The sequence below is a fragment of the Homo sapiens genome, chromosome 22 (genome assembly GCF_000001405.40).
Source record: "Homo sapiens chromosome 22, GRCh38.p14 Primary Assembly".
NCBI lineage: Eukaryota > Metazoa > Chordata > Mammalia > Primates > Hominidae > Homo > Homo sapiens.
Window position 1 is genome coordinate 19,378,647 of NC_000022.11, and position 27,788 is coordinate 19,406,434.

A 27,788-nucleotide genomic window follows, 5' to 3' on the forward strand; every position below is an offset into this window, starting at 1 on the left:
CAAAATACAAAGTGCCAGGACTCTCCCCATGGGGTTGCTGTCAGGACTAAAGCAGTTGGTGTAGGACACTCTTAGAACACACATTGGCTGCTCAAAGAATTATGAAATTCTAATAATTGTCATTACACCTAAGATTCACATAATATATGGGATAAATTCTTAGAAGTGGAATTGTAGCAGCAAATGAAATGTTCACTGATGATTTGGAATAAATATTTCTAAAGTGCCCTCCTCAGAGGTTTAAATTACAAGCCATGTATGAGAGCGCCTATTTCTCCACATAGGTGCTTAGTAACACTTTTATCAAATTTCTTGACACTTAACAATCTGACAGAAGAAAAATGGTATCTTATTTTGATATGAGTGACGTTGACATTTTTTCTTTTTCTTTTTTTTTTTTGAGACAGAGTCTCTCCCGCCGCCCAGGCTGGAGTGCAGTGGCGCGATCTCGCCTCACTGCAAGCTCCGCCTCCCGGGTTCACGCCATTCTCCTGCCTCAGCCTCCCGAGTATCCCGCCACCATGCCCGGCTAATTTTTTGTATTTTTAGTAGAGACGGGGTTTAACCGTGTTAGCCAGGATGGTCTCGATCTCCTGACCTCGTGATCCGCCCGCCTTGGCTTCCCAAAGTGCTGGGATTACAGGTGTGAGCCACCGTGCCCGGCCGGCAGTTTTTCAAAGTAGAAATACTTGATTTCCGGCCAGGCGCAGTGGCTCATGCCTGTAATCCCAGCACTTTGGCAGGCCGAGGCGGGTGGATCACGAGGTCAAGAGTTCGAGACCAGCCTGGCCAACATGGTGAAACCCCGTCTCCACTAAAAATACAAAAATTAGCCGGGCATGGTGGTAGGCGCCTGTAATCCCAGCTACTTGGGAGGCTGAGGCAGGAGAATCTCTTGAACCAGGGAGGCAGAGGCTGCAGTGAGTTGAGATCACACCACTGTACTCCAGCCTGGGCAACAGAGTGAGACTTCGCCTCAATTAAAAAAAAAAAAAAAGAAATACTTGATTTCTTTTTTTTTTTTTTTGTGAACTGCTTGTTCATATGCTTTGTCTACTGTTTTGTTATTGGTCTTTATTACTGATTTGTAAAAATCATTTACATATTAAAAAAATTCCTTATATGGTAGGAAATATTTTACCTGGGATGTTGTGTTTCAACTATTTATGGCCTTTTTTTTTGAGACGAAGTCTCGCTGTGTCGCCAGGCTGGAGTGCAGTGGCGCAATCTCGGCTCACTGCAACCTCTGCCTCCTGGGTTCAAGTGACTTTCCTGCCTCAGCCTTCCAAGTAGCTGGGACTACAGGGGCGTGCCACCACGCCCAGCTAATTTTTATATTTTTTAGTAGAGACGGGGTTTCACCATGTTGGCCAGGATGGTCTTGATCTCTTGACCTTGTATCCATCTGCCTCAGCCTCCGAAAGTGCTGGGATTACAGGTGTGAGCCACCACGCCCAGACAGCCTATCTTTTAAATGCACTAAAATTTTAAAATTTTTGTGTACTCTAAATTGTCATTTACAGAAAACACTTTTTTGACCTCTGAGATTATAAAAAATATTCTTCCAGGGAATCTTCTAAAATTTTAAACAAAAATATTTTAAATAACAATTTAAAAAGAAACAAACTATAAGCTGTTTAGAATGTATGTAATGATAAGTTATGAGGCTGGGACCCAACATTGTTTCTAGGAGGTGCCATGTAGTCCTGTCTTCCATTTACCGAATTAGCCAATGTTTTATCACTGATGTGAAATGCTACCTTTAAAATTCCCATAAATATTCGGGCCTGTTTCCTCATATTCTATCATATTCCACTGCACTATCTACTCATGTGTCAGTATCTCACTGTTTTGAGTTATGACAGCTTTTAAGTCTTAATTTCTGGTGGGGCTAGTCTTCCCTGGCTAATCTTCTTTTTCAGAAATATTTCGGCCATTCCTATTTATTTTTCCAGATAACTTTATTTTATTTATTTATTTATTTGATACAAAGTCTCACTCTGTCACCCAGGCTGGAGAGTGGCACTATCTTGGCTCACTGCAACCTCCCAGGTTCAAGCAATTCTCCTGCCTCAGCCTCCAAGTATCTGGGATACAGGTAGTAGCTACAGTAGCTACAGGTGGGCACCACCACTCCCAGCTAATTTTTATATTTTTAGTAGGGACGGGGTTTCACCATGTTGGCCAGGCTGGTCTCAAACTCGTGACCTCAGGTGATCTGCCTGCCTCGGCCTCCCAAAGTGCTGAGATTACAGTTGTCAGCCACTGTGCCCAGTCGATTTTTCCACATAACTTTATAGTTACCTTGTCTGATTCCCAAAATTCCTACGGTTATTTGTACTGGTTAAATTTATAGGCTACAAGAGAGCTGACATCTTTATGATGCCATCCTAGCTAATCAATGGTATGAATTTCTAGTTATTTCTTTGAGTTTTCTTTGAAGCCTCTCAGTAGGGTTTTTAATTTTTTCTTCATTAAGATATGCATCTCTGGTTGCATCCTAGTTATTTTATTTGTGAATATGACTTATTTCTTTATGTGCTCTGAGGGTAGTTGGTGCTACCTGACTTCATGTTGATTGTATCCTGCCATGTGACTATCTTCTTTCATTGCCTATGGCAGCTTTTCCAGTTGATTCTCTTATAAACCATATCATCCTTAAATAATTATCCTTTCCAATTTGTTCTTTCCTTTGACTAACTACATGGGCTAGGACCTATAGAACAATGTTAAATTATAGTTGCAAGAGTAGGCATTTGTTTAGTTTTTGAACTTAATTTGAAATAAGATAATTTATCAAGTTAAGGAAGCATCCACCTATTCCCATTTAACTGAGTTTTAAAACAACGTTGAATTTTACCAAAACGCCTATTAAGCATCGATGAGAGATCATATAATTTTTTTTCTTTTGATCTACTGATACGTAGAATTAAATAGTTACCTAAAATTTGAACCTCCTTACTTTCCCAAAACAAACCTCACTTGGTCATGGTATATTAGCCTTTTAACAAGCAGTAAGGTTCTGTTTGTTACTATTTTACTTAGGATTTTGCACTGACATTCAGAAATGAGAATGATCTTGAATTTATTATGTTTTATCCTTGTAAGATTTTGATATATTATGTTCATTTCAAAATAAAAATTTGCACATTTCTTCTCCATGCACTAGAATATTTAAAATGGTATTAACAGTTACCTGAGTTACCTGTTCCTTAAAAGTTCCTGAAGTTTCCCTGTGAAGCCATCTTAGTCCGGTGGCTTTGGTGGGGTTAACTCTGTCCTCTATTTCTTCCACAATAATTTTTCACTTTTAGTAATTTTATTTTCTTCAAAAACCATCCACTTTCTGTGCAAATTTATTTGCACAGAGTTCAGCAAAGAAGTCTCTCATCTTTTTGATTTGTCTATTATTTCTCACTTATACCTACTTTGTATATTTATGCTTTTTCTCTTCTTTCTTGATTAGCTAAGCTAATAAGGACCTATCCTGTTGCTACGTGTTAGAACGTGGGAATCAGGAGGGCAAAAAGCTTTTAATACCAAAAGGATCAGGTCCTGATGCTAGAAATATGCATCCTATGTCAGAAAGTTGGCCCCAGACCAGTTAGGAAGCCACCTACACCTTCTCACCAGGTAACGCCTGGAAGGATCCACAGAACAAAGTGTCACCATCACCACCACCACCTCCCCATCCCACAGGCCCAGTATGTTCAGAGCTCAACCACACACTGGGTCTCACTTGGTCTCAATAAAAGGTAGGTAGGGGCATTACCCCCTACAGGGTCACAATAGGAAAAAGACTTAGTCAAAAGAAAATGAGTGCTCTGTGGGGAGCCAGCAGACCTGGTTCTTGCTCTACTCGTGGGGACCTCAGAGCCTGCACATCTAACATGAGGAGACTGGATCTGTACACTGTACGAGTGAAGGTTTCTTTAGACACCAAGGAAGATTTGGAATAGCTCGTGGATGGACAACTGCAAAACGCAGAGGCCTAAAGTGTGTGGCCTCCATGAAGGGCTTACAAATGCCCTGAGCAGATAGACGGAATGAGAATAAAACCCAGAGTGAACTGCCTTGACAGTGGGGGTCTATTTCTTTCACACAGTGCTTTATCATTTTTCTTTCTTTTTTTTTTTTTTTTTGAATCAACACACATCATTTTGGGAAGAATAACCAATTCAAAAACAATCTTCACTATATACACTGGGACAACAGCAAGTGGTGAATGAGTCTCTTCCCCCTTCTCTGTCCCCCACAGGGAAATATGTTTGGGAGCCCTACTCTCTGCCCAGTAATTCCACTTCTAGAAGTTATCCTGAGAGAACAACCACAGGTGAGCTCAAAGACTCATTTATAATCACGAGAAACTGGACACAAACACAAGTCTACAGTGAGCTGGCTAAGCAAATCCTAGGATGGGAATCTGGATAATCAGATAGCAAACACCTCAGAGGACTAGTTATTAAAATGGATGAATGGGCATGAAACAGTAACGAGTGGGGAAAAAAAAGACTGGAAATACAGATATAAAAACATTAACAGTGACTGTATCTGATTATGGATAATGTTTTTTTCTTCTTTGGGCTTTTACTATTTTCTAAATTTAACCATGTGTAAATATACCTTTCATAATCATAAAAATAACTTTATGAAAGAAAAAAAAGAAAAAAAAAATCAGCCTGACTGACTGCTTTCCTTGTGCGTCCTCTGGTGCCCTGGCAACAGTGAAGTGCAGCAGATGTGCTGGCCGCCTTAGCACTCCCACCCCTCACATGATTCAGGTGTGCACAAGGGCTCCAGGAGGAGTATGGGCTTTGAGACTGCGGGAAGCTGAGCTTCACTTCCTTGCTTCCATGTTCTACCAGTCAGGTTGTGAAGGACCCGTGAAGATCCTCACTGTGAAAGTGTTAACCGCTGAAAGAAGACAGGAAGATCTCGCCAGATAAGACCATGAAAGGGGAATGAACCAGTACCCAGTGTCCAGCTGTGCTATGCAGAGAGGCGTGATTCTTCTCCGGCCATCTGCTGTCCGAGTCTCAACTTGTTTCTTCAAAAGATTCTGGCAAAGCAGAGTTACATAAATGAATGCAAAAGTTTTGGCCAACTATTTCCAAATATTAAAAAATAAAGTCTCTTTTTTTCCTGGTGATAAGAACACTAAGCATAAGATCCACCCTCTTAGCAAAGTTTTAAGTATGCAATATCATATTGTGAACTGTAGGCACTATGCTGTAGGGGAGATTTCTAGGACTTATTCATCTTCTATAACTTAAACTTTATACCCTTTGGCTAATAACTCCCATTTTCCTCTGACCCCAGTATTCACCATTCTATTCTCTGTCTCTGTGAGTTTGACTATTTTAGATTCCTCATATAAGAGGTATCAGGCAGGCCAGGCACGGTGGCTCACGCCTGTAATCCCAGCACTTTGGGGAGGCCGAGGTGGACAGATCACAAGGTCAGGAGATCGAGACCATTCTGGCCAACATGGTGAAACCCCGTCTCTACTAAAAATACAAAAATTAGCTGGGCGTGGTGGTGTGTAACTGTAATCCCAGCTACTCAGGAGGCTGAGGCTGAGGCAGGAGAATCGCCTGAACCAGGGAGTCGGAGGTTGCAGTGAGCCAAGATTGCGCCACTGCACTCCAGCCTGGTGACAGAGCGAGACTCCATCTCAAAAAAAAAAAAAAAAAAAAAGAGAGATATCATGCGGTATTTGTCCTTCTGTGTCTGGCTTATCATTAATTTGTACACACTAAGTATGTATAACTTTTTATATGTCAATTGTACTTCAACACGGTAGGTTTAAAAATAATAAGGCTTCTAAGGAAATGTATTCTAAATTGCCCTCCTGGTACAACTAAATAAGACACCCAAGCAAAGAACAAGCAGTGGGTACATGCCACACTGGCCGCCTCGCACAACAGCCATGGGACCAATGAAAGGGCTAAAGGACTGAGCTCTGTACCCGTGAACCACACATCTGTCACTAAGCTAGGGATTTTCTTTCTTTCTTTTTTTTTTTTGAGACAGAATCTCACTCTGTCTCCCAGGCTGGAGTGCAGTGGCGCAGTCTCGGCACACTGCAATATCTGCTTCCCGGGTTTAAGCAATTCTCCTGCTCAGCCTCCCATGTAGCTGGGATTATAGGCATGCACCACCATACCCGGCTATTTTTTTTTTTTTTAAGTAGAGACAAGGTTTCACCATGTTGGCCAGGCTGGTCGGAACTCCTGACCTCAAGTGATCCGCCTGCCTCAGCCTCCCAAAGTGCTGGGATTACAGGGGTGAGCCACTGCGCCTGGCCTGAGGTAGAGATTTTCAAACTGACTTTCAAAATAGAATCCTTCCTTCCACAGAAAGCTTGTAACTAGGGGTTTTCTCTCATACTTTATATCTGAATTGCCTGGAGGAGGTTTGTCAGCCTACACAGGCTCCTGGAGATGGTTTATACTCCCCAGGCAATAACGTTCCCTACCCTTTTCCCGCCCCATTTCCAACCCCTTCCCATCAAACATGGCTTCCAGATGAAGAAGGGGGAGCCCATAGAAGTCTCCTAAGGGCAGAGCCTGAAATCCACTGTTGTTAGCATCTAGGATTTTTAGAAAGACCAGAAGGATAAAATTCGTAAGTTCTTACAAGAGATGACCTCCTCTGGGCTCCTGGGGATAAGGAGGCCTTTGATAAAGAGGATCCAGGCCCCATTACTGCATCATGCAGCAGTGGGCAAGGGGCCAACAGGCCCGAGGCTGGCTAACCCACAGATCCCGTACCACTCTAAACAAACCCCTTCCTTACCACCACTGGTGTCTGCCCCTCACCCTGTCCCTGGGCATATGTCCATGTCTTTAGCGCCACCAGGCAGGGCTCTCACCTTCCTGATATCTTCAAGACTCTCCCCGTTGACAACGCCTGCGACTGAGGTGGCTGAGCCCATCTCCCTGGTCGCAGCACTCTTCTGGTCCAGCTGCTGCTGCTGCTGCCTTCGCTGGTACTTGAGCATCTCAGGGTTCTCAATGACGGCTGTGGAGAGCTGGGCCTCGGTCATGATGGCTAGGCTCTTGCCATAGGTGGACTGGTGAATGCGGCTCTGGGGAAGCAAGGAGAGGCATGACATGCCAGCATGAGTGCCAGTGTGGCCAGTGCTGCCCACCAGCAGGCAAACTACAGCAGGGCTCTCCTGGCTCTGAGTGGAGAAGGGACCCAAGGCCAACTCCCCATCGCCTCCCATCCTATTCTGCCTGTCCCTCATTCGACAGCTCTGTTGATGTCTCATGCCCACCCTTGATTTTTATGGCCTCCCTTGTATCTGTAGCTGGGATGACAGTAAATGAGACAGCCAACAAGACAACACCTGCCCCACAGTCTGGTGGAGAACAAATGACAATCCACAGTGCTTCAGTGGAAAGGAAGATACTCAAGGTGCTAACTTAAGGCTCTTAAATCACTCCTAGGACCCAAATGATTTTGGGAATCAGATCCTAGAACAAAAGTCTACTTTCACAGCTCATCTGCAGCCATAAGCCCTGTGGTTGGAAGTCCCCATTGGCCTGCTTAGTGTCTCTAAGAGTATGGGAAGGCCTGGCACAGCAGGGCTGGGGAGCCTCCTTTACTCCCACCCCTCCTAGTATGTCATCATACTCCCCTCCTTCTAGGCCCTCATAGTCTTGTGCCCTAACAAGCTAGACAGGAGCCTCATGAGAGCAGAGATGGTGTCCCCAGCACACTGTAGTGACTGCTGTACATGAAAGTGCATGAGGAACACACTTCCATGGGATGTGCAAATGTCCAATGTGGGATTCTGCTCAAGAACAGGGACTGTGGTTAACAGGACATCTGCTTTACAGCAGAGCATGGGTTGAGAGGCAGCGTTCCAAGAGAGGTGCCTTGGGACCTGCTCCTGCAGGGCTTGAATGTGGCCAGGAACCTCCTTTTCTTGCCATCTTGGCTCCTGCCCTTCTCTCCTGAGTCTATCCCCTGGAATCTCGAAGCAGAATTCAGTGTTTGGCCAGGGTTTCCCTAGTGTTCCTCCAACATGGAGTCCCAGCCTGACTTGGGAAATGGTAAGCAGATGGGTTATTAGGCTCCCAGAGTGACTCCAAGGGAGTGCATAGTGATCCCAGGTACCTGATGACAGTGACAAGGTTGGAGGAGGACCTGAGGCCTCTGAGATACTCATTCCTTCATGGAAAAATGATGGGGTGGCAGGCCCCATTCTAAGTGTAGTCATTAAGGCAGACCTCTCCCCCAAAGGGGTTCACATTTTAGTGGGGAGGTCACACTGTAGGTTAAGAGGAAGCTTCCACCAGCAAATAAGGTCATGAGGAGAGCTGCCAGCCTGCTCTGGGCTTTCACAGAGCTCCCTTCAGACACATACACACAACCCACCAAGTGGGGGCAGGTTTCTAAGCCTCTGGTAGGTGAAGCAGGGCTTTTCTCAAAGCCTGGCAGAAGGGCAGAGAGACCCCATCACCCCAGCAGAGCACAGAGGGGAGGCAGCCTGGCCCAGAGGCAGCAGGCCTTGTTCACTCTTCTGACCTAAGGGTCACATACAGTCTGGGCAAAGAGCCATGCTATTTTCTGAGGCTTAGTTTCCATATCCACGAAATGGATGAGCCTTGCCTTGAAGGGTTTTGTGCAATTTAAATGAAATCATATGTGCAAAACACATTCCCAGAGCCTGGCAGACAATGCGTTCTAAGAAATGACCAATATTACTACCATGAAGGTGAAAGTGACATGAGCAGGGGCCCCTGAGGAGTCACTTCAGCTCTTTCCCAGGGCAAAAACCTCCCAGTGGATGGCCTATTATCAGCTCAAAAAGAGATGCCTAAAATAGTTCTACTCTTAACTCCAGGACTTATTTCTGAAATGGGGACTCGTTTTTTAATTAATCTATTTTGTAAAGAAGGATTACAAGATATAAAAGATGAATACCCCATTACATGTTAAGAAATGACTTGTCTGTGTATCTCACAAGAAGAGGGTGTAGTCAAAGGGGTCTCTCAGAGCTATTGTGGCAATGGCCACAGAGCACCCAGCAGCACAAGAGCCGTCAGCCTACCTTCTCCTCCTCGCTCAGGGGATCGCCAAGCTCATCCTGGGAGAAGTCGAGGAATGCCACAGAGCCGTCCATAGAGCATACCAAGATGCCCAGCCCATTCAGAGTCCTGAAAGACATGGCCATCAGCAGCCTGGTAGCAAGAGCCCCAGGCAGACACATGTGCCGCAGTAGCTGGCCTGTGAGGATGGTGGGCAGTGTTCTAGGGAGATGCTGGAAACTCCTGGTTCCCTTCTGTGGCCTGGTTCCCTTCTTTGGCCTGGGCGGGGGGGGGAGGGGGCGACAATTGTATCCCAAAGGGCCCTGGTGTTCTTTAGCTCTAAGCAGGTGTACAAAATATCTCCTTTACCATATGTTCTGTAAGAATTTTCAATTTTACTTATCTTACTTTTGAAACTATTAAAATAAAAAAAACTTGACAAAGTATACATATAAATCAGGTCACTGAGAAGCAGAAAGTGTGCTTCTGACTTTGGTTCATGCACTGACGGAGTAAAGTGGAACATACTAGGATCACGTCATTCTCCTCGTCTTAGACAAATCCTGAAAAGGCATTTTCCAGTGGCAAATTCTACACAGGCAGGACATTCTCGCAGCAGCAGGTACACCGCTGCCAGTTCCCAAATCACGTGCAAACAGCACTCTTGGTCTGCGCTACTATGACACCTGGGGAGGGGCCACTGGCCACCTGACCCTAGTCACACCCAGAAGGCCTCATGTTCCAATGTGTGGCTTCTCCTTTCTTAACCTATTCCTGTAAGTAGAATCCACCTTACCAGGAAATATCCATGATGGATTTGTCAAACAGTTCATGGATGACCACCAGCGGCCGTTTCAGACATGTGAGCTGGAAGGAAAGACACAGTCAAGGTTAATGAAATTACTGAAATCCCCTTCTGTATTCAGCTCAGTTAACATAACCAACCTAGAAGCCTGGGTCAAAGTGGCTGCTGATATTTAAGGCATCTTCAACTCTATTCAAACTGCAGCTGCAGAGATCCCAAACTGTGGGAACCAAAGCCTGCCAAAAATGTGCATGCTACCTAGAGTGGACCCTGCCTCCAGGGCTTGCTGTGGTCTGACAGGGGAAATAGCTTTATACACAGATAACTAGCAACAGAGAAGGCAGAGTGGGAGTGGGTTTCTGAAGGGCTATGGTCGGAGGAGAGGGACAGCCCCAGGGTGGACCTCTGAGAGGGTCTATGGAGCAGGAGACACGATGCCAAAGCCTAGACAGGGGATGAGGCACCCTGAGAGAGAACACAACACATCTTCCCTGGGCCCAAGGGACTCTGGTACACATTTATCCAAGGCTCATTCTACACTATGTGTAGGTAGTACAGAAATACACACCTGGGCCCTTAATCTGGGCCTAGTTACCGACTATTAATACTTTGATGAATTATTATCTTCTATTTTGTGCAAATATTTATTTTATTCTTCAAAGTAAGAATTTATTTTATTCTTCATAGTTGTGTCTGTTTTTTCATTTAACACACAATAAGTATGTCATTAAATATCCTGTAAAAGTCTCTTCTGGATGACTGCATAGCATGCACTGTGCATATTCTCTATCGAGTCACTCAATTGCTGGCATACACTCTGACTCCACGTTCCCACAACTATGGTAGGCCTTTCCACTTGTGCACAAGTGCCTGGCTACCCTGCTGGCTGGCCCTGAACTGCAGGACAATGGGCAGGGAAGAAACACACTTCCTCACGGGATGGTGGGCTCCCATAGGTGCTGCTGCAGCTTCTGGGAGGCTGTGGGGCTGAGCGTCCCAGTGCAGCCTGAGACTGCTATGTGGGGAAGGAGAAGCTGTGTCTACCCTAGTGGTGGAGAGGGGGCTGAAGTCTGAACGATCTGGAACCCACATTAAGAATCTCGCCTCCACCTTAATTCCACTTCTAGAAAAAGCTGCCTTGTCCCTCCTCTCATAAATGTGCCTACAGACCCCTCAGAAATCTACAGGCCGTGTGACTGCCTAACCTGAGCATTCTAAGAAATATGGGCATCACAGTCAGTGATGTTTTGGTTGCAGCGCCACAAACAGGGCCTCTGGCTGGGAGGAAACAGGGAAGGTCCCCTGAACGGCAATCTGTGGTACTGTGGTTCAGGTTCCAGAATGGGTGTTAAGTGAATACTTGGCCTAAAAAAAAAAAAAAAAATCACAACGCACACAGTAATATATTTCTCTATACCAAACTAATAAATGCAGCCAGAGGATAACCTTCAAACCCAGAACTTCCAACTTGCTCTGCTTATAGGGACACTTTTTTACAAAATGAAAAAAAAAAAAAATTAATGTGTGTGCACTTTGCTTTATCAAACTTTAAATATATTGGCACCTTGATGCTCAGCACCAAGACTGCTCCCTGCACTGCATGCGGAGGTGTCTCTTACCACACAGTCAGGTCACAGCACACCAGCCCCTGGCAGTGAGAAACTTAACCCTTCAGGAGCCCTCACTTAGAAACCGCCACAGTTCTTACCCTTGGGTTCTCACTCGCCAACTACCATTGAGTATATCTGCTGAGAACCTGCTCTGTAGAGGGCACTGAGTTAGGAAGGTGAGGGGAACAATGAAACTGAAGACACATCGGGCTGGGTGTGGTGGCTCACACCTGTAATCCCAGTACTTTGGGAGGCCAAGGCGGGCGGATCACCTGAGGTCAGGAGTTTGTGACCAGCCTGGACAACATGGTGAAACCCCATCTTTACTAAAATTACAAAAAAATTAACCGGGTGTGGTGGCCTGTAATCCCAGCTATTCAGGAGGCTGAGGCAGGAGAATCTCGCTCGAACCCAGGAGGCAGAGGTTGCAGTGACTCAAGAAGCCAAGATTGCACCACTGCACTCCAGCCTGCTGGGCAATAGAGGGAGACTCTGTCTCAAAAAAAAAAAAAAAAAAAAAAAAAAGAAGCTGAAGACATCGCCTCATCTCAGGGGATCCAGCGAGTGAGGAGTACTAGGCTCACAACCTTACCCATCACAGCATCACCCAGGGGTGAAATGGACTAATAGAGGCGTCAGCTTTCTGTGTGTCTTTTTCTGTGGACATAAGCACTTATCTGTCTTGGTTGTATGCCTAGGAGTGGAAGTGCTCTAGGTCATATGCTTAGCTGTGGTAGAAACTGCCAGACAGTTTTCCCAAGTGCTCATGCCAGCGTAAACACCTGTCAGCAACACGTGTCAGCAATGTATCAGTTCCAGCTTATCATGTCCTTGCTGACACTTGGTACTATTTTTTTGTTTTTTTTTTTAATTTTAGAACTCTACTCATAGGTATGTACTCATAAATGAAAACGTACATCCACATAAAGACTTATACAAGAATGTTCATATCAGCTTTAGTCATAATATCTCAAAACTGGAACAATCTTAATGTCCATCAACAGGAGACTGTATAAACAAATTGTGGTGTATTCATACAGTGGAATGCTACACCGAAATTATAAGGAATAAAATACTGTTAAGTGCAGCAACATACACGAATCTCAAAAACACTGTGCCAAGCAAAAGAAATGAAGACACAAAGAAGCAAGTACCACACAATTGCATTTATATGAAGTTCAAGAGCAGGCAAAACTCATCAGTGTAACAGAGGCCATTAGAGTGGTTGCTTTGGTGGTGAGGGAGGTCTTGACTGGGGAGGGACAAAGGGACAAAAAGGAGTGCTCTAGGCAGTGATGACACTGGTGTGTAAACATGTATGACAACTCACCAAACTGTACCTTTCAGGTGAATACACTTTATATAAAGATTTTTCTTTTTCTTTTTTTTTTTTTTTTGAGACGGAGTCTCGCTCTGTTGCCCAGGCTGGAGTGCAGTGGCGCGGTCTCAGCTCACTGCAAGCTCTGCCTCCCAGGTTCACGCCATTCTCCGTCTCAGCCTCCCGAGTAGCTGGGACTACAGGCGCCCACCACCACGCCCAGCTAATTTTTTGTATTTTTAGTAGAGACGGGGTTTCACTGTGTTAGCCAGGATGGTCTCGAACTCCTGACCTTGTGATCCGCCCACCTCGGCCTCCTAAAGTGCTGGGATTACAGGCGTGAGCCACCGCGCCCAGCCATATAAAGATTTTTCTAATAGGAAGCAAGCCCAACATGCTGCTCATGGCATTGACCACTGAGGGTGCTGCCTGAGTCTGGACACAAGAGCTGGTCTAGGTGGGGGTCAAGGTGGCCTCTCCTGGCTGGGCACAGACCCAGTCTTCAGCACTTCCTTCTGGGAGAGCAGGAGAGCCTGTGAGCTTCCAAGGAGGGGCTGACCCCAGGTGCAGAATAGAAATACACTCTTAGCATCACCCAAAGCAGGTCTCTTTCCTCCACTTGCTACTTTACCAACCTACACCTCCCGTCCTGCAACAAAAGCTCAGGATAGCAGGCTCACCCAGACAGAAAGCGAGCGGTCCTTGCTGCCAACAGCACAGCAGCAGTACGGGCAGCTAGGCTTCGCAGAACTCCCATTCTTCTGCTTCTTTTTGAAGATTTTTGGGTTGAATTTCTAAAGCCAAATAACAGATGTTAAAAATAATTAATCAAGCATCAGGCATGTCCCCTGTGCCCAAGTCCCAGCCCACTGAAGGGAGTCTCCCACAGACATTCTCTGAGCCCAGGCACTGAGCATGCATTTCATCTTCCCGACCACCTATGAGGCATCTGGCTGATGATGGAAAGGAAGCTTAGGGAGGTCAGAAAGTATGTGCGGAGGCACCAAATGAGTAAGCTGGGAAATGCAGATTTGAAACTAGAGCTACCAAACTCTCCATTTCTGGAGCTTGCCAAGTAGAAGGGATGCGTAGCTACTGAAACTAGCCTTCTCAATTCCCTCTGGCCAGGCAGGGCCAGCCCTAGGACCTGCAGAAAAGCTGAGCCTGCAAGGGGGCTTCAGAAACAAAGACCTACTCACTCCCTATCTCCTAAGGGAGGCCAAGGGGATGGGCAGGAGGGGTGTGAATCTCTGAATTCCTTATTGCCTCACTGCATTTGTTGTTCAGTCATAACCGTCTAGCAGAGATCTGCTCAGTCAGAGAGTCATTTGTGATCTCCCTGGGCCAGTGACCATGGCAATATCACACAAAGGTGCTTGGTTGGCTGCTTAGTCCAGGGAACTACCCCGAGAGTAACTTGTCTTTGTTTCTGCAAAGGATGAAAGCACTCACTGAGCTCCCAGACACCCTCCTGGATTTAAAGGGGTGGGCGCTCTGGGAATCCCCAACCTAGGACAACTGAGGGCAGAAGAAGGAGGGTTCCTGAAAGCCTGGTGTCAGGTAGCCTAGAGATGTTTTAATTCCAGAGGGCAGGCAGGAATGGCCGGGGTGCACAGAGACTGGAGAAGATGGAACTCAGAGGCGTGTCCCTGGGCTTGCTGTCTCTAACACCAATGAGGCTGCAGGGCCTTAGGAGCTCTGTGAGCCATAGGCAGGCGTCGTGATCTCCCAGAGCTGCTAATAAAGTGGTTGTGAGGACTGCATGGGAGAATCACGTAGAGCACTAACCATGAAGCACTGATTTCCAAAGACTTTAGCAACAAAGCTCTGGTTCAAACAAAACCCTACATGAACTCCAAAACAAAAAAATTTAATAAGTAATATTTTATTCATATAAAATTTGTGTTTTAAGGTACAATATATGATACTTATTATCTTTTTTTATTTTTATTTTTGAGACGGAGTCTCGCTCTGTCGCCCAGGCTGGAGTACGGTGGCGCAATCTCAGCTCACTGCAACCTCCGCCTCCCGGGTTCAAGTGATTCTCTTGCCTCGGCCTCCTGAGTGGCTGGGATTACAGGCGCATGACACCATGCCCAGCTAATTTTTGTATTTTCAGTAGAGACGGGGTTTCATCATGTTGGTCAGGCTGGTCTTGACCTCCTGACCTCATGATCCGCCCACCACAGCCTCCCAAAGTGCTGGGATTACAGGCATGAGCCACCGTGTCCGGCCGATACTTATTATCTATTTAAACACGGGCAAAAGTGAGTCTATTTTCATCAGGGTCTTGGATGATCCTTCACTTTTATCAACCTTAGTCCACCAATCTGTTTATTTTATTTGGCTGCCCAGTGTTGAGAAAATCCTGGTTCTCACAGATTATTCGCAACTACTTAACAGCTTGCCTTGGGCTCTGTCAGGACACTATTTAATTAAAGTCATGGAGAAGCATAAGACGAGTGGCCAGACAACTCTCATGCCTAAGGACTGACAGCAGTTCACGCCTCTGAGCTCTTCACCTGCCGCAGCAAGATCTGGCAGCAGCTCCCAACTCAGTGATCCATGGCATGGCCTTGCACCTGTGGTTGATGCTGCCAGGTGTGGGGACAAGCACAGTGCTTGGTGGGTATACCAGAATTGTACCTGTATTCACTGGAGCCAGGTGAGGGTGGCACCGTGCTTGGGCACCCCAAGCATACCTGAGTGTGTAAAAGGCTGATGTGGAGCTACGATGTTCCTAACCCAAGACTGATTTTGGTGATGTTCACATGTAAAGTTTGCCAATAAATCAACCAAGTACATACTCTATTTTGTAAAATTAGCTTTTAAATATTTAAGTATAACTATTCAAAATAAACCAAGAATTAATATTTGCTGAATCTTGGAGCCCATCTCCCTTTAGTTCCCTGGGCACTCACCACGACAGTCACAGCTTTCCGGTGCCCAACAAAGTCCATGTTGGTCTTCCATCCCTCCCGTTCGATGATCTGGGCAGTGGGGCCTGAGTTGTTCATGGCATGGGCAGACACCAGGTAATGCCCATCAGGTGACCAGCTGAGCCGCAACACATGGGTCGTTCCTCCACACTGAAAGAAGCATCTGCACTTGAAAGGAGCTCAAGGCCACCTTTGTGACCAAAACTCTGGCCTCGAGGATAAAGTTAAACTTCAATTTATAAATGTGTGATGGTGGAGCATGCACCCCAAGCTTCTGGCTACACTGACAGCTTCTGTCTCACCAGATGGCCCAACCAAAAAGGGCTCTGTGAAATGAATTTGGAAACTGCAGCATCCTACACTCCCCCAGAGGAGCTGAACAAAGAAATATAGTACAGAAGTGTATGCCCTGAGGAGATCTGCAGGAAGGCTACCTGTTTGAACCATAGCCTCTGCATGGGCCAAATCTCTCTGGCCACTGACCCAATTCTTCTGTGTAGCACCTGTTAACCCACAGCATGGCATCTGCACAGCATCCTCAAGATATACTCTGGTGGAGAAAAAGCCCTTTTTAACCCAGGAGCCTGGCAGAAGCCTGTGTCTGTAATGTAGCTGATGACTGTGAGGCACCACCTACTCTCTTGAGCCTGTTGCCTCACCCAAAGGGTGGTGAGGATACCCGCAAGGGAGAAGAGGTTTGTAACATCCTTATAAACTATAAAAGGAACAGTAGAAAGGCACTGCTCCCCCAGTCTGGACTGGGGGCTGAGGCAGAGCATCCCTCCACATTATCCCTCCTGCAAAAAGAGATGACATGGGTCCAGAGCCAGCTCCTTGAAGCTCAAGGTGGGCCCAGGGCAGCTCTAAAGACTTAAGGGTTAAGATCATGACCTCACAGCTCTAGAGCAGGACATGACAAACCAGAGCCTGAGTATAGTGAAATCACCCACCTCAGCTCTCAGCCTAGGTGACAGAACCACCCCCTACCTGGAAGGATGGGCCCACCCAGTAGAGGCTGAAGAGTACTACCACCTCCTGCTGGTACTCAAGACACTCCTAAAGCCGTCCCTAGGAGTCCACCTCATGGGACCCCACTGCCTGGCAGTCAGAGCCCTGAGGAACTCCAGAAGGAGCAAAAGCTCCTTAGGGCAAGACTAAGTAAGGTAAAAACCAGTACTCATATACCTAGCCCAGGAGCTGGTGTTGTGCGGGAAGAACTGAACATATGACTATCACTTTACTTTTGCAGCCATCCTGACCAGTGGGCAAATGCGTGCTCTTCCTGCAAACCTTCCCTCATGTGTCCCTCGCTCTGTGAAGTCTTTCCTGATGCACTCACCTCTCCTGGGCTGTTTCTGCACTCTGGACAACTCCATTATCATGCAACTAATGGGAATGCCTGTCTTTCCTATGGGGCTTTAAGCTTCAAGAGGAGAGACTCCATCTCAATCCACTTTTATTTCCCTGTGCCCAGTTATTGCCTTCTATACAGTAGACACTTAATAAATGTCTAATGAACAATGGTGATCTTGAGCTCTCATTCCATTTGAAATCAGAACTCAAATAACGGAAGAGAGATTAAAATACCAGAGAAGCTACTGCAGTCTGATCTCCAAACATGTGCAAACTGTACTGCTAACTCCAGCCAGGAAAAAAGGCCCCTGAACTGCAGGGTGCATATCAACAAGCACAGCACAGTCGAGGATGGCACAAGAGTCTCCTCCATCCTCCCCAACAAGCTGCTCTGCGGGAGGCTCAGAGTAAACTCCGCACTATAAGAAGCAGTTTTATCCACGTCTGTGGGAGTGAGCTGGGTGACAGAATGATGTGGAGACATCTCTAAGGTTCACTTCAACTTTAAACCTATAAATCCGGGCCAGGCGCAGTGACTCATGCTTGTAATCCCAGCACTTTGGGAAGCTGAAGCGGGTAGATCACCTGAGGTCAGGAGTTCGAGACCAGCCTGGCCAACATGGCGAAACCGCATCTCTGTTAAAAATACAAAAATTAGCTAGGTGTGGTGGTGGGCACCTGTAATCCCAGCTACTCAGGAGGCTGAGGCAGGAGAATCGCTTGAACCCAGGAGGCGGAGGTTGCAGTGAGCTGAGATCGTGCCACTGCACTCTAGCCTGGGCAACAAGAGCGAAACTCTGTCGCCAAAACAAAGCAAAAAACAACAAAACTATAAATCCCTTTTATTTCAAAGTTGGAAATTAAACAGCGTCTCAGAAATGAAGGATTCTGTATTATCTGACTCTTAGGGCCAGAGTCCCACCCCAGAGAGCCTTGGTGAATCCGCTCAGGCCCCCGGACTCTGTGCATTCCCCAGGTGGCCTGGCCCATGGCCAGCTCCCTCTCTGTACACAGAAGTCAGGAAGAGGCTGGGGCAGCTGCGGGGGCTCAGCTCCCTGAGCTGTCCCCACTTACCTCATCAAAAGGCTTGGTGATGCTGGTCTCCAACTGCCAGTCCAGCGTCCTCCACACCTTTAGGCTGCGGTCATCAGCTTGAGAAGCTATGTATTTACCAACAGGGTCCCATGTCAACCCTTTGACCAAGCCAGAATGACCTCTCAGAGTAGCTAGAATTTCTGTGAAGAAAAAAGGAATGTGGAGAGGTGTTGTCTGAGGGAAACATGACCTGCAATCCATGGGCCATGGGATGGATATGCAAGAGAGGGGACTCAGCAGTCTGCCATGGCCAGCCCCCACACCAGACAGAAGCAGAAGGGCCTCCTCATTTGATCTCCACCAAGGCAAAAGCCAATTGAAGAAATGACAGCATCAAGGAGGCAGGCACCAAGGGGCTAGTTCTGATCCAGGTCTTATCTGTATCTAGCGGCCCTGCCTATGGCTGCCCTTCCTGGGCTGTGACACCAGCACTTCTGACGTTAGCCTCCCTGGTAGCTCCCTGATAAGGAGGAGGCCTACTAGCTCAAAGGGCCTGACTGTGGCTGAGTCTTTTATAAGTTATGGCTGAAGACAAAGGTGTGTACGACGGTACCCCATATAGATCTGTAATCCAAATGCTACTCCGGTCTCTAAAGCTTCCCTCTCCATAGCCAGACTGAGTGTTTCCACACATGCTGGTGGCTTTCAAAGAGTTAAAATGACCTGGATCCATAAGGAAAGCATACTTCAAATACAGAGCTGAAATATGAGAAGAATTTTACTAGTTATAAACTGCAGCACTGTGCCAGGTTATGCCATCTGTTGTGACTTTAAACACAATGAATAAGAAAAATCAATCTTTTGCAAAACTGGGTTTGTGTTAGCCCGTATCTGCTCAAGGGTTTCACAGAGGAGATGGTGACTGAGCTGAGCCCAGAGCCCAGTGGTGGGGGTGCACACAGCAGGTTTAGGAGCATCAGGGTCCCCAACAACAGCTGCCCATCCATTACCCTCCTGATCTGTGGCATGCCATGCTAGCACTCAGTTACCATTTTTCTTAAGCATGAATCTCTTTTTAAAGCTTAAACAAATGTAACTGACAAAGAAAAACTGACAAGACACATAAATCCTAGGCCACTGTGACACATCTGTTGCCACCAAGACTAAGGAGACAGCCCAACCCCTGCTCCAGAAACTGACAGGCAGTACTGCTTGCTGTTAACCAGTCAGAGGAGGCCCCAGACCTGGGAACTTTACAGCATTCCAGATGACGACAGTGTTATCCACGCTGCATGAGGCTAGCCAGGCATCGTGGGGAGACCATGCTACATCCATCACATCTGAAAGAAGACAGAGGGTTCTGGTGAGATCTCTTACCTGGTGATGCCCTTGTCTATTAGCTTGGCCAGTGCCCCTGGGACCTGGGACCATCATAACCACTCTGGTATTTTTTAACCAACCTGAAAAAACTCCCCCCAGAATTTTTCAATTGGTCATAAATTTAAAGCATCTAACCGACCCCAGTGCCTCACTCCTTTTACAGACGAAGCAACTGAGGGCGTGGTTCAGAGCTTGGGCACCATATGGCACCACACCCATGCATGAGAGCCTGCTACTTCGTGGGTCTGTGGCCTGGAGCATGCTCCTCAGCCCTGCTGACTTGCTTTGCCAATCATAACAGGGCCTTCCTCCGAGAGCCTTCTGAGCATGAGACACAGTGGGTAAAGCACATGGCAGAATGCCTGGCACAGTCAGAACTCCAGGGCTGCTGACAACTGAACACAAGTCATCTTGAGGCCCTCGTCTGGTTCATGGACTGGGTCTCATCTCCCAGACCCTGACAGGAGTACCCCTTCACTATGGAGCCTCCAAACAGAATTATTCACATTCACTTCTTTGTGACTCCATTTTATCATTTGTTAAGTGCAGATTAAAAAACAAAATCTAGGCCAGGTGCAGGGACTCACGTCTGTAATCTCAGCATTTTGGGAGGCTGAGGTGGGCAGATCGCTTGAGCCCAGAGGTACAATACCAGCCTAGGCAACATGGCAAAACCCTATCTCTACAAAAAATTGGCTGGGCTTGGTAGCACATGCCTGTATCCCCAGCTACACAGGAAGTTGAGGTGGGAGGATCACTTGAGCCCAGGGAGGTTAAGGCTGCAGTGACCATGATTGCACCACTGCACTCCAGGCTGGGCAACAGAGTAAGACCCTGTCTCAAAAAACAAACAAAAAAACCAATGAAACAAAAAACCCCAAAACCTATCCTCATAGGGTCACTGTAAGGATTAAATGTGATAAACTGCTGCAACACCATGCCAGGCACACACCAAGGCATCGATGAGGGTCCGCTGTGACGATGGTGCCAACCTTGCCTATCCTGCCATCAGGGGTGAAGGGCGCAGTCTTAGTTATTTCTCTAACCTCAGCGCCTGGTGCAGTGCTAGGTATACAGAAGAATGATTGGTGAGTTGAAGAAACAAACATAGCAGCAAGGTAATAGCTATCAAGTCCTTTCTTTGTACAAGAGGTTTAAGCAAAATATTCCAAATATCTATTGTATTTTTTCCAGTTAAAAAAAAACTATAGTAACAGCTTAACAGGTTTTTTTTTTTTTTTCAAATTGTCTCACATGCTGTGGTTCACATTTTGTATTCTAAATGCCTATGTGATCTTCACAGCTTCTTTCCTTTTTTGCCCTGCATTCTATGTGGTTGAGAGTATTCACTACTATTAATTGACCTAATTTAACACTGAAGATTAACTGGATTCTGGTTTTTTGGGCCCGTGTGTATTTGTCACTCTCCATACTCCAGATTATTACTCTGAGACGCATACCCTAGAGTGGGAATCCTGGGCAGAATATCTGAGCATCCTCATAGGTCTGGATTCTCATAAAACTGTAGACTGCTTTTCCAAGATCCCTGTGGTTTTACATTTCTACATGCAGACTGTTTGCTTCAAAACTCCCTTATTAGCATTGAGGATGATGACTTTTTCCCCTTCCGACTTATTTATTCAATACAATTTTATATTTAAAATTTTTAATTAGATTATTAGTGAAAGCGTTTGTCTCTTATCTAATGTGTTTTTGGACTGATTTGCTGACTTATTGTGACCATTTACTGGGAAGTGTTTCGGGCAGTGGGTCTAACAACATAAATGCAGTGCCTACAAAAATGAAGAAAACAACAACTTTCTCTAGTAACTGAGAGTCCTGGAGGGGCACACATGCAAACGCCAGGACAGCAGGGGAGTGCCCACATCCTAGAACAGAGAATATGTGGTTAGGTGGGAGCCCAGAAAGGAGAAGGGATTTTCTTAGCAATCTCCACAGACACATATAATGCAGCTATTAACTGCAAATTTCACCTCTCTACTTTTTTATACTGTAGTAGTTTTATGGAGTAAAGTCTGTTATTCTCCTTTGTGATTTCTTCTATTGCCTTGTTAACCTTGAAAAATATTCTCTCTGCTAGAGGTCTGGTAAATATTCAATTCTATTTTTTCCTTGTGTAGTTATTTAGAATGTTTCTCTCTTTAGTATCTGGTTTGGTGTGTGCTGTATTTGGTGAGGATTGAAATTAATTTCTCCTCACTAACTGCTTAACAGTTACTATGCTCCATGTGAGGAAGAATCCATTTTGATAAGCGATGCCTCCTTTCACAACACACCAACTTCTTAGGTATACTGTAGCCTCTTTCAGTGTTACGAGTTTACCCTCAAACCCATGATGTTTCTATCACTGGAACTTTGAATGTTTTCATCCGTAACATTCTTATCCTTCCAGATACGATCCTTTAGAATCACTGCTGAGTAAATCCACATACATGACATAATTTTCTCCTAAACTCCCAGTTTGGAGTTTCTGTCTTCAGACTATATAGCACCTCCTTTTTATGGTGCATCTACACACACAGGAGACCCTCCCCTCACTTGTAGATTTACATTTCTGGCCACTGTTCTCACCATCATTCTTGGTGACTCCAAGAGGATGATTCTTCTAACACTCCAGGCTCTTGGTTCCTTAAATTCCTCCTTCCCTTCTGATGACCGTGGCTTCCACTACTTTCACCCCACGGTCATGTCCAGAGGCCTTCCATGACAAATCACTGCAATCTGTCTCAATTCCAACCTTCCCACAGGCCAACCATCAGCCCCGTGCTCCTAGCTCACCCTCAGCTCCAACAGCACTTTCACGCCACCAGGAACTCCGATCTACTGATGCTGCCGTCCCCTCACCACTTGCCAACCACCTGGTCCTTACCTCTCTCCTCCAGCTGAGAGCCCACCACCACTCCCCCTTTTCTTCTCCTCCATCTTCCTACACGCCTGACAAAGCTCAGCTCCTCTCCTAGTGTTTTTTGAGTACTCTCCAATGACACCTTTGGCCCAATGACACCACATGAATATTGCACTTGCCTAGGCCCCCAGCACCCTCCATGCTGTCAAGCCCAGCAGTCTATCCTTGGTCTTCACTTTGCCCCTCAGCAATAAGCAATACGCTGCCTGTTCCCCTCTCCTTCAAATACTCTCTTCACTGTCCGTTTTGTTGTTGTTGCTGAGACAGGGTCTCGCTATGATGCCCAGGCTGTTGAGCTACTGGCCTCAAGTGATCCTCATGCCTCGCTTCTTTTCACTGTCTTAACTGGCCTCTCCTTCTAGCTTCTTTTTCTGGTTTCAGCTCTCCAATCCCTAGGCTCATCCTTGGACTCTGCTCATACCCAGAACCTCATATTTCCAAGATTCATATTTCCAAATGTCTACACAGTATGTCCATTTACACTGGCAAACTTAACATATCCAAAACCAAACTCTGAAAACACTTCCCTTAACAAACATTTCTGTCCCACCTGCAGACTTCCTGCTTCAGGTTACAGCCACTGCATCCTTTCCACTGTTTGGACCATAGTCCGGGAAGCCATCCTGACTCCTCTGCTTATCTCACATCCCATATTCAATGCACCAGGAAATCCGCCTCTGATCACTTCTCACCACTTCTGTGTTATGACTCCAAACCACCATTGTCTCTCCCTTGTTTTTCGGAGCGGCTCCTTTACTAGTCTTCCCAGTGCAGCCCTGAGACCCCCATGGTAGAATCCACACTGCTGCCACAGGTCTCAACTCCTCTGCCTAGATCCCTGCGGAGACTTCATATTCTTGCTCAGAGAAGAGCCTCTGCCACGGTCTCAAAGGCACACTGCCTCCCGCACCCTCCTCCCCCGCCCCAGCTCCCAGGGGTTCACTGGGCACAGTAAGCACATGTCCATGCTCCAAGGCCTTCGCACTGGCTGTCCCCTCACTGCCGTCCAGTCTTCCCTCAAATGTCATCTCCTCACTGGCCCCCAGCACTCATCTTCCAACTCCTTACAGGACTCTGCCTTCTAGGCTCATCTTCAAATCTCCTATACTACTCACTCGTCTGTCTCTTTTACAAGAACAAATCTCCTTGAGAGAAGAACAGTGCCTGGAACATGGCAGGCACTCAATAAATGTTTGGTATGTGGACAAGTAAATATTAATTTGGGAAAAAATGTATTTCATCTAGCCTTTCAATTTAGGAAGCCATTTTCTATCTCTCAATGTCATTTTGTATCTTAAAACGTTTGTGATTTAAGTCTTACAAAACTAATTCATTTCTTGGTAAGATTACTTATTCCTGGATATTTATAACTTTTGATCCCACTCTGTATAATTCTCTTTTTATCATTAGATATTCTAATTGGCTATTAGTAGCAAAAGACCAATAATTTAAAATTGTTCTGTTATGAGGCCAATATAAAGACTCATTTTATTAGTTCTAAGTATTTTTCAGTGCTTTATTTGTTCCAAGAGCTTTATCCCCCTATGGTTTTTCCTAATATGAAATAATGTCACCTTCATTTCCTTTTTGCCTTATTTTCCAGTTTCTATTTAACTGTGTTGCAGAAATTCCAGAGCAACAAATTAAATGACAGCACCCATCATTGTCTTTTCTTGATATAAACCGCAACCAGGCTTAACTGTGAACTGTAATATTTGCCACTGGTTTGAAAAAGACTAAGGACTCTACCATGTTAAGGAAATAGCTTTAGGACAGGTGTGGTGGCTTATGCCTGTAATCCCAGCACTTTGGAAGATGCAGGTGGGAGGATCGCTTGAGCCCAAGAGTTCAAGACCAGCCTGGGCAACATAGTGAAACCCCATCTCTACGAAAAAAAAAATCAGCCAGGTATGGTGATGTACATCTGTAGTCCTAGCTACTCAGGAGGCTGAGGCAAGAGGATCACCTGAGCCCAGGAGTTCAAGGCTGCAGTGAGCCGTAATTGCACCACTGCATTTTGCCTGGGTGACATAGTGAGACACAGTCTCAAAAAAAAAAAAAAAAAGAAAAAGAAAAAGAAATATCTTCCTATGGGCATTTTAAAAAAAGCATTTTTAATAGGAACTGATGTTGAATTGTCTAATGTTCCTTTTAAAACACCTAAGATGACTGTAGCTTTTCCCATCTAACTTCCTAGTATGTAAAGTTATATTAATAGATTCCCTTGTACTACACTTACAAGTCACATTTAATCATAATAAATTACTATTTTCTGGCCGGTCATGGTGACTCATGCCTGTAATCCCAGCACTTCGGGAGGCCAGGACAGGCAGATCACGAGGTCAGGAGATCAAGACCATCCTGGCTAACACAGTGAAACCCTGTCTCTACTAAAAATACAAAAAAAAAGTGGCCGGGTGTGGTGGCACGTGCCTGTAGTCCCAGCTACTCAGGAGTCTGAGGCAGGAGAATAGCTGGAACCCGGGAGGTGGAGGTTGCAGTGAGCTGAGATCGTAACACTGCAGTCCAGCCTGGGCAACAGAGCAGGACTCTGTCTCAAGTAAATAAATAAATAAATGAGTAACTGCTTTCAAGTGTTATTATATTTACTAGTATTGTTTCTGATTTTTCTATCTTTATTCATATTATTCTATGCTTTTGTTACATTATTTTTCTTAGGTTTTCTTGTATTTTCCAGATACAATAACCCTGGCTTATATCTTCCTTTCAATTATAAATATTGCTATTGTTCTGTATAATTTTTCTTAAAAGCTCAAAACAATGCACCTACAACTAATTTAGAACCAAGAAGCATTTCTGAAGACAGCCTTTCATTTCTTCATTGGTTACTATTCTGTTCAGTTTTTCCTAATCCTATGGTATCAATTATGAAAGTTCCTATTTTCTAGAAAATTATTTTTTAGTATTTTGTTCTTTAGCTTAATAGTACAAACATTATATTGTACTGTTTGATGATTTTTTTCTGTCTGGGTTAAATGTTTTTCTAGATCTTTAAACTCTAATTTTGTCTAGGTTTTTTCTTCCCAACCCCCAATTAAATATACCAAGTATATATTTCTCACACTTTGCTTTTCAAAGATCCGGTTCTTTCTTATTCATTTACTTCTGCTTTTCATTGATTTTTCTTCTTGAATGGTTCTGCCTGCACCTGCTACCAGGACCAGTGAGTAATGAGTGTCAGGTCCCCAGCTGAAGGTGGTCAACTCTACTTGTCTGGTAAAGGAGCCCCACTGGGCGGTGGGTAGGAAAGAGAATGCAAGGCTCTGGTTAGGGCCTTGTAAAAGTCCTCACTTGAGGCCTACCCCACACTTGGGCACCCTCATAGACATGTGCACCAAGTTCCAGAAAAGTCCAACTAGACTTCACTGTTAGTACTGTGACACAAGTAAGGGCCAATTACACAATTTAATTATCAAACAATAACACAACACTAACCGTTTCAGCTTTCACAAATGTGGACTCAATCTATGGCCGCCACCAAGATGGGTTTGTTCTCCTTTTAACAGTCTACAGGGAATCTGCTAAGCATACACTAACAATGGATTATAGCTGATGCCACCTCCCACACCTCTCACTCCTGCCCTGTCCTCGCCCAGAGCTCCAGGCTCAATTTGAAGGTTTCTTGACATTTCTTCCCCTACCCCTCAAGCCAGGGGCAACTCCATTCTGAACTGGTATCCGTCCCCATAAGCCTGTTGTCCTTAGGGTCTCAGCAGAGGTGATACCTCTGACTATCTAGGCATCCAGCCAAGAATCTATCTCATACCTCTCTGTGCCCTATCCTAAGTATTCCCAAATCAATCTCCTCTTCTCTACCTCAATTATCACAGGCCTAGCTCAGGCCCTGACAGTGTCCATCTAAACGACTGGAAGAACCTCCACTTCACTGAGCTGTCACAATGACCTCTCTGTTGTGCTTCAAAGCTTTTAGTGGCTCCCTATCTCTTCCATGACAAGGGACTCCCTCAGTAACAGGGAGCACAAGCTTTCCATGATCCGACTCTGGCATACCTGACCAGCCTCACTTTGTGCTGCTCCCTGCCTTGTCTATAAAGATCCAGCCATGGTGAAATGCCTCCAAATCCCCATTCACACCAAGACTTTCTCACTTATGCTGTACCACCCTGCCTGGAAAACCCTTTGGTCCATTCCTGGACCAAACGGACTCAGACTCCTAAGTCAAGTCTAAATTGCACTCAACCTGGTATCCTTGACACCTGAGTGTACAGTGCATGGGCAACCTTCCCCCTCAGTCTAAATTCATAAAATGTGCTTCTTTCCATGCCAAGTTTATTTAAAACACTGCAAACATACTCAAGGTCAAGTTGAGAAACTTTTCAATGGGCATCTGTGAGCTGATTTCTGGGGAATAAACAAAGTGTGCTTACGGACTTAGTGATCCGCTGATGAAGGTACTGATTCTGTTCAGCAGGACAAACAGCAGAACGTGGGAAGTTCTACATTAAAGATATAAACATATACCCCATGAGGGCAAGAGTGGGGAGACTGAATGCAGCTGGAGACAGGTAGTGGACCCGGTGACTGCACAGATCTTAAGGGACAGGCAGGGTGTGACTGATTGTGATGGGGTGGGACAGCCCAGACATAGGGCTGCTTTAAGGACCAAACAGTCCCACAGGGGACGTGGCGGTGCTGCTGATCTGAGCCAGGTGTCAGGGGCCCACCCACCCCAACAGGCAGTCCCACTCACCGCCTGAATGATTCCGGAGGATAGAGACACACCGCCACTGCTCCACATTGGCAAGCTTACCACTGGAGCCGAACACGGTGCTGGGGCCGATGTACCTGTGTGAGAAAGGGGCCAAAAAGGCACTCATGGAGTGCTCTGGGCACTGCATAGAAATGCTCCCTGCAGCCAGCTTATCAGGGCACACAGAACAAAGCAAAAACAAACAAGAACTGGAAAGCACTGGGTTGTTGAATAAAAGGGGCTGGTTAGGTGAATTATGATCCATGCACTTGATGAAATACTACACAGCCATTACAAATCTTGCATGGGAAAACGTTCACAATAAGTGAAAGAAGCAGGCCACAGGACATCACATACAATATGATATCACTTATGTAAAGGAAAAAAAACCACATGACATGGATAGCATCTATGCATGGAAAATGGATTAGAAGGACACACATCCCAAAATGTCAAAATATTAACTGTAGCTTTCTTTAGGTGGTGTGATGAGGGATATTTTTTCTTTTGTATTTTTAGTTTTCTAAATTGTATACTAAATGTTACTTATGTTGGCTATTTAAAGAAGCAAAATCAACAGTATTTTATTTTTAAGCATCTCACAATGAATCAAATGGCTTTGACATCTGAGGCAGAGAAACCACGCGAT

The 27,788-nt window shown here is 45.6% G+C and overlaps 1 protein-coding gene across 1 annotated transcript in view; it reads right to left on the minus strand.

Moving 5' to 3' along the window:
• HIRA (histone cell cycle regulator) overlaps positions 1-27,788 on the minus strand; it is a 101,036-nt gene that overhangs the window by 47,949 nt on the left and 25,299 nt on the right. Inside the window, exons 5-13 of the mRNA NM_003325.4 lie at positions 27,140-27,234; positions 19,346-19,441; positions 18,141-18,301; positions 15,696-15,863; positions 13,455-13,568; positions 9,838-9,908; positions 9,065-9,170; positions 6,875-7,090; positions 4,974-5,059 (exon numbers count right to left, since the gene is read on the minus strand). Coding sequence (NP_003316.3) covers positions 4,974-5,059; positions 6,875-7,090; positions 9,065-9,170; positions 9,838-9,908; positions 13,455-13,568; positions 15,696-15,863; positions 18,141-18,301; positions 19,346-19,441; positions 27,140-27,234 — 1,113 coding nt within the window. The remainder of the gene's footprint in view (positions 1-4,973; positions 5,060-6,874; positions 7,091-9,064; positions 9,171-9,837; positions 9,909-13,454; positions 13,569-15,695; positions 15,864-18,140; positions 18,302-19,345; positions 19,442-27,139; positions 27,235-27,788) is intronic.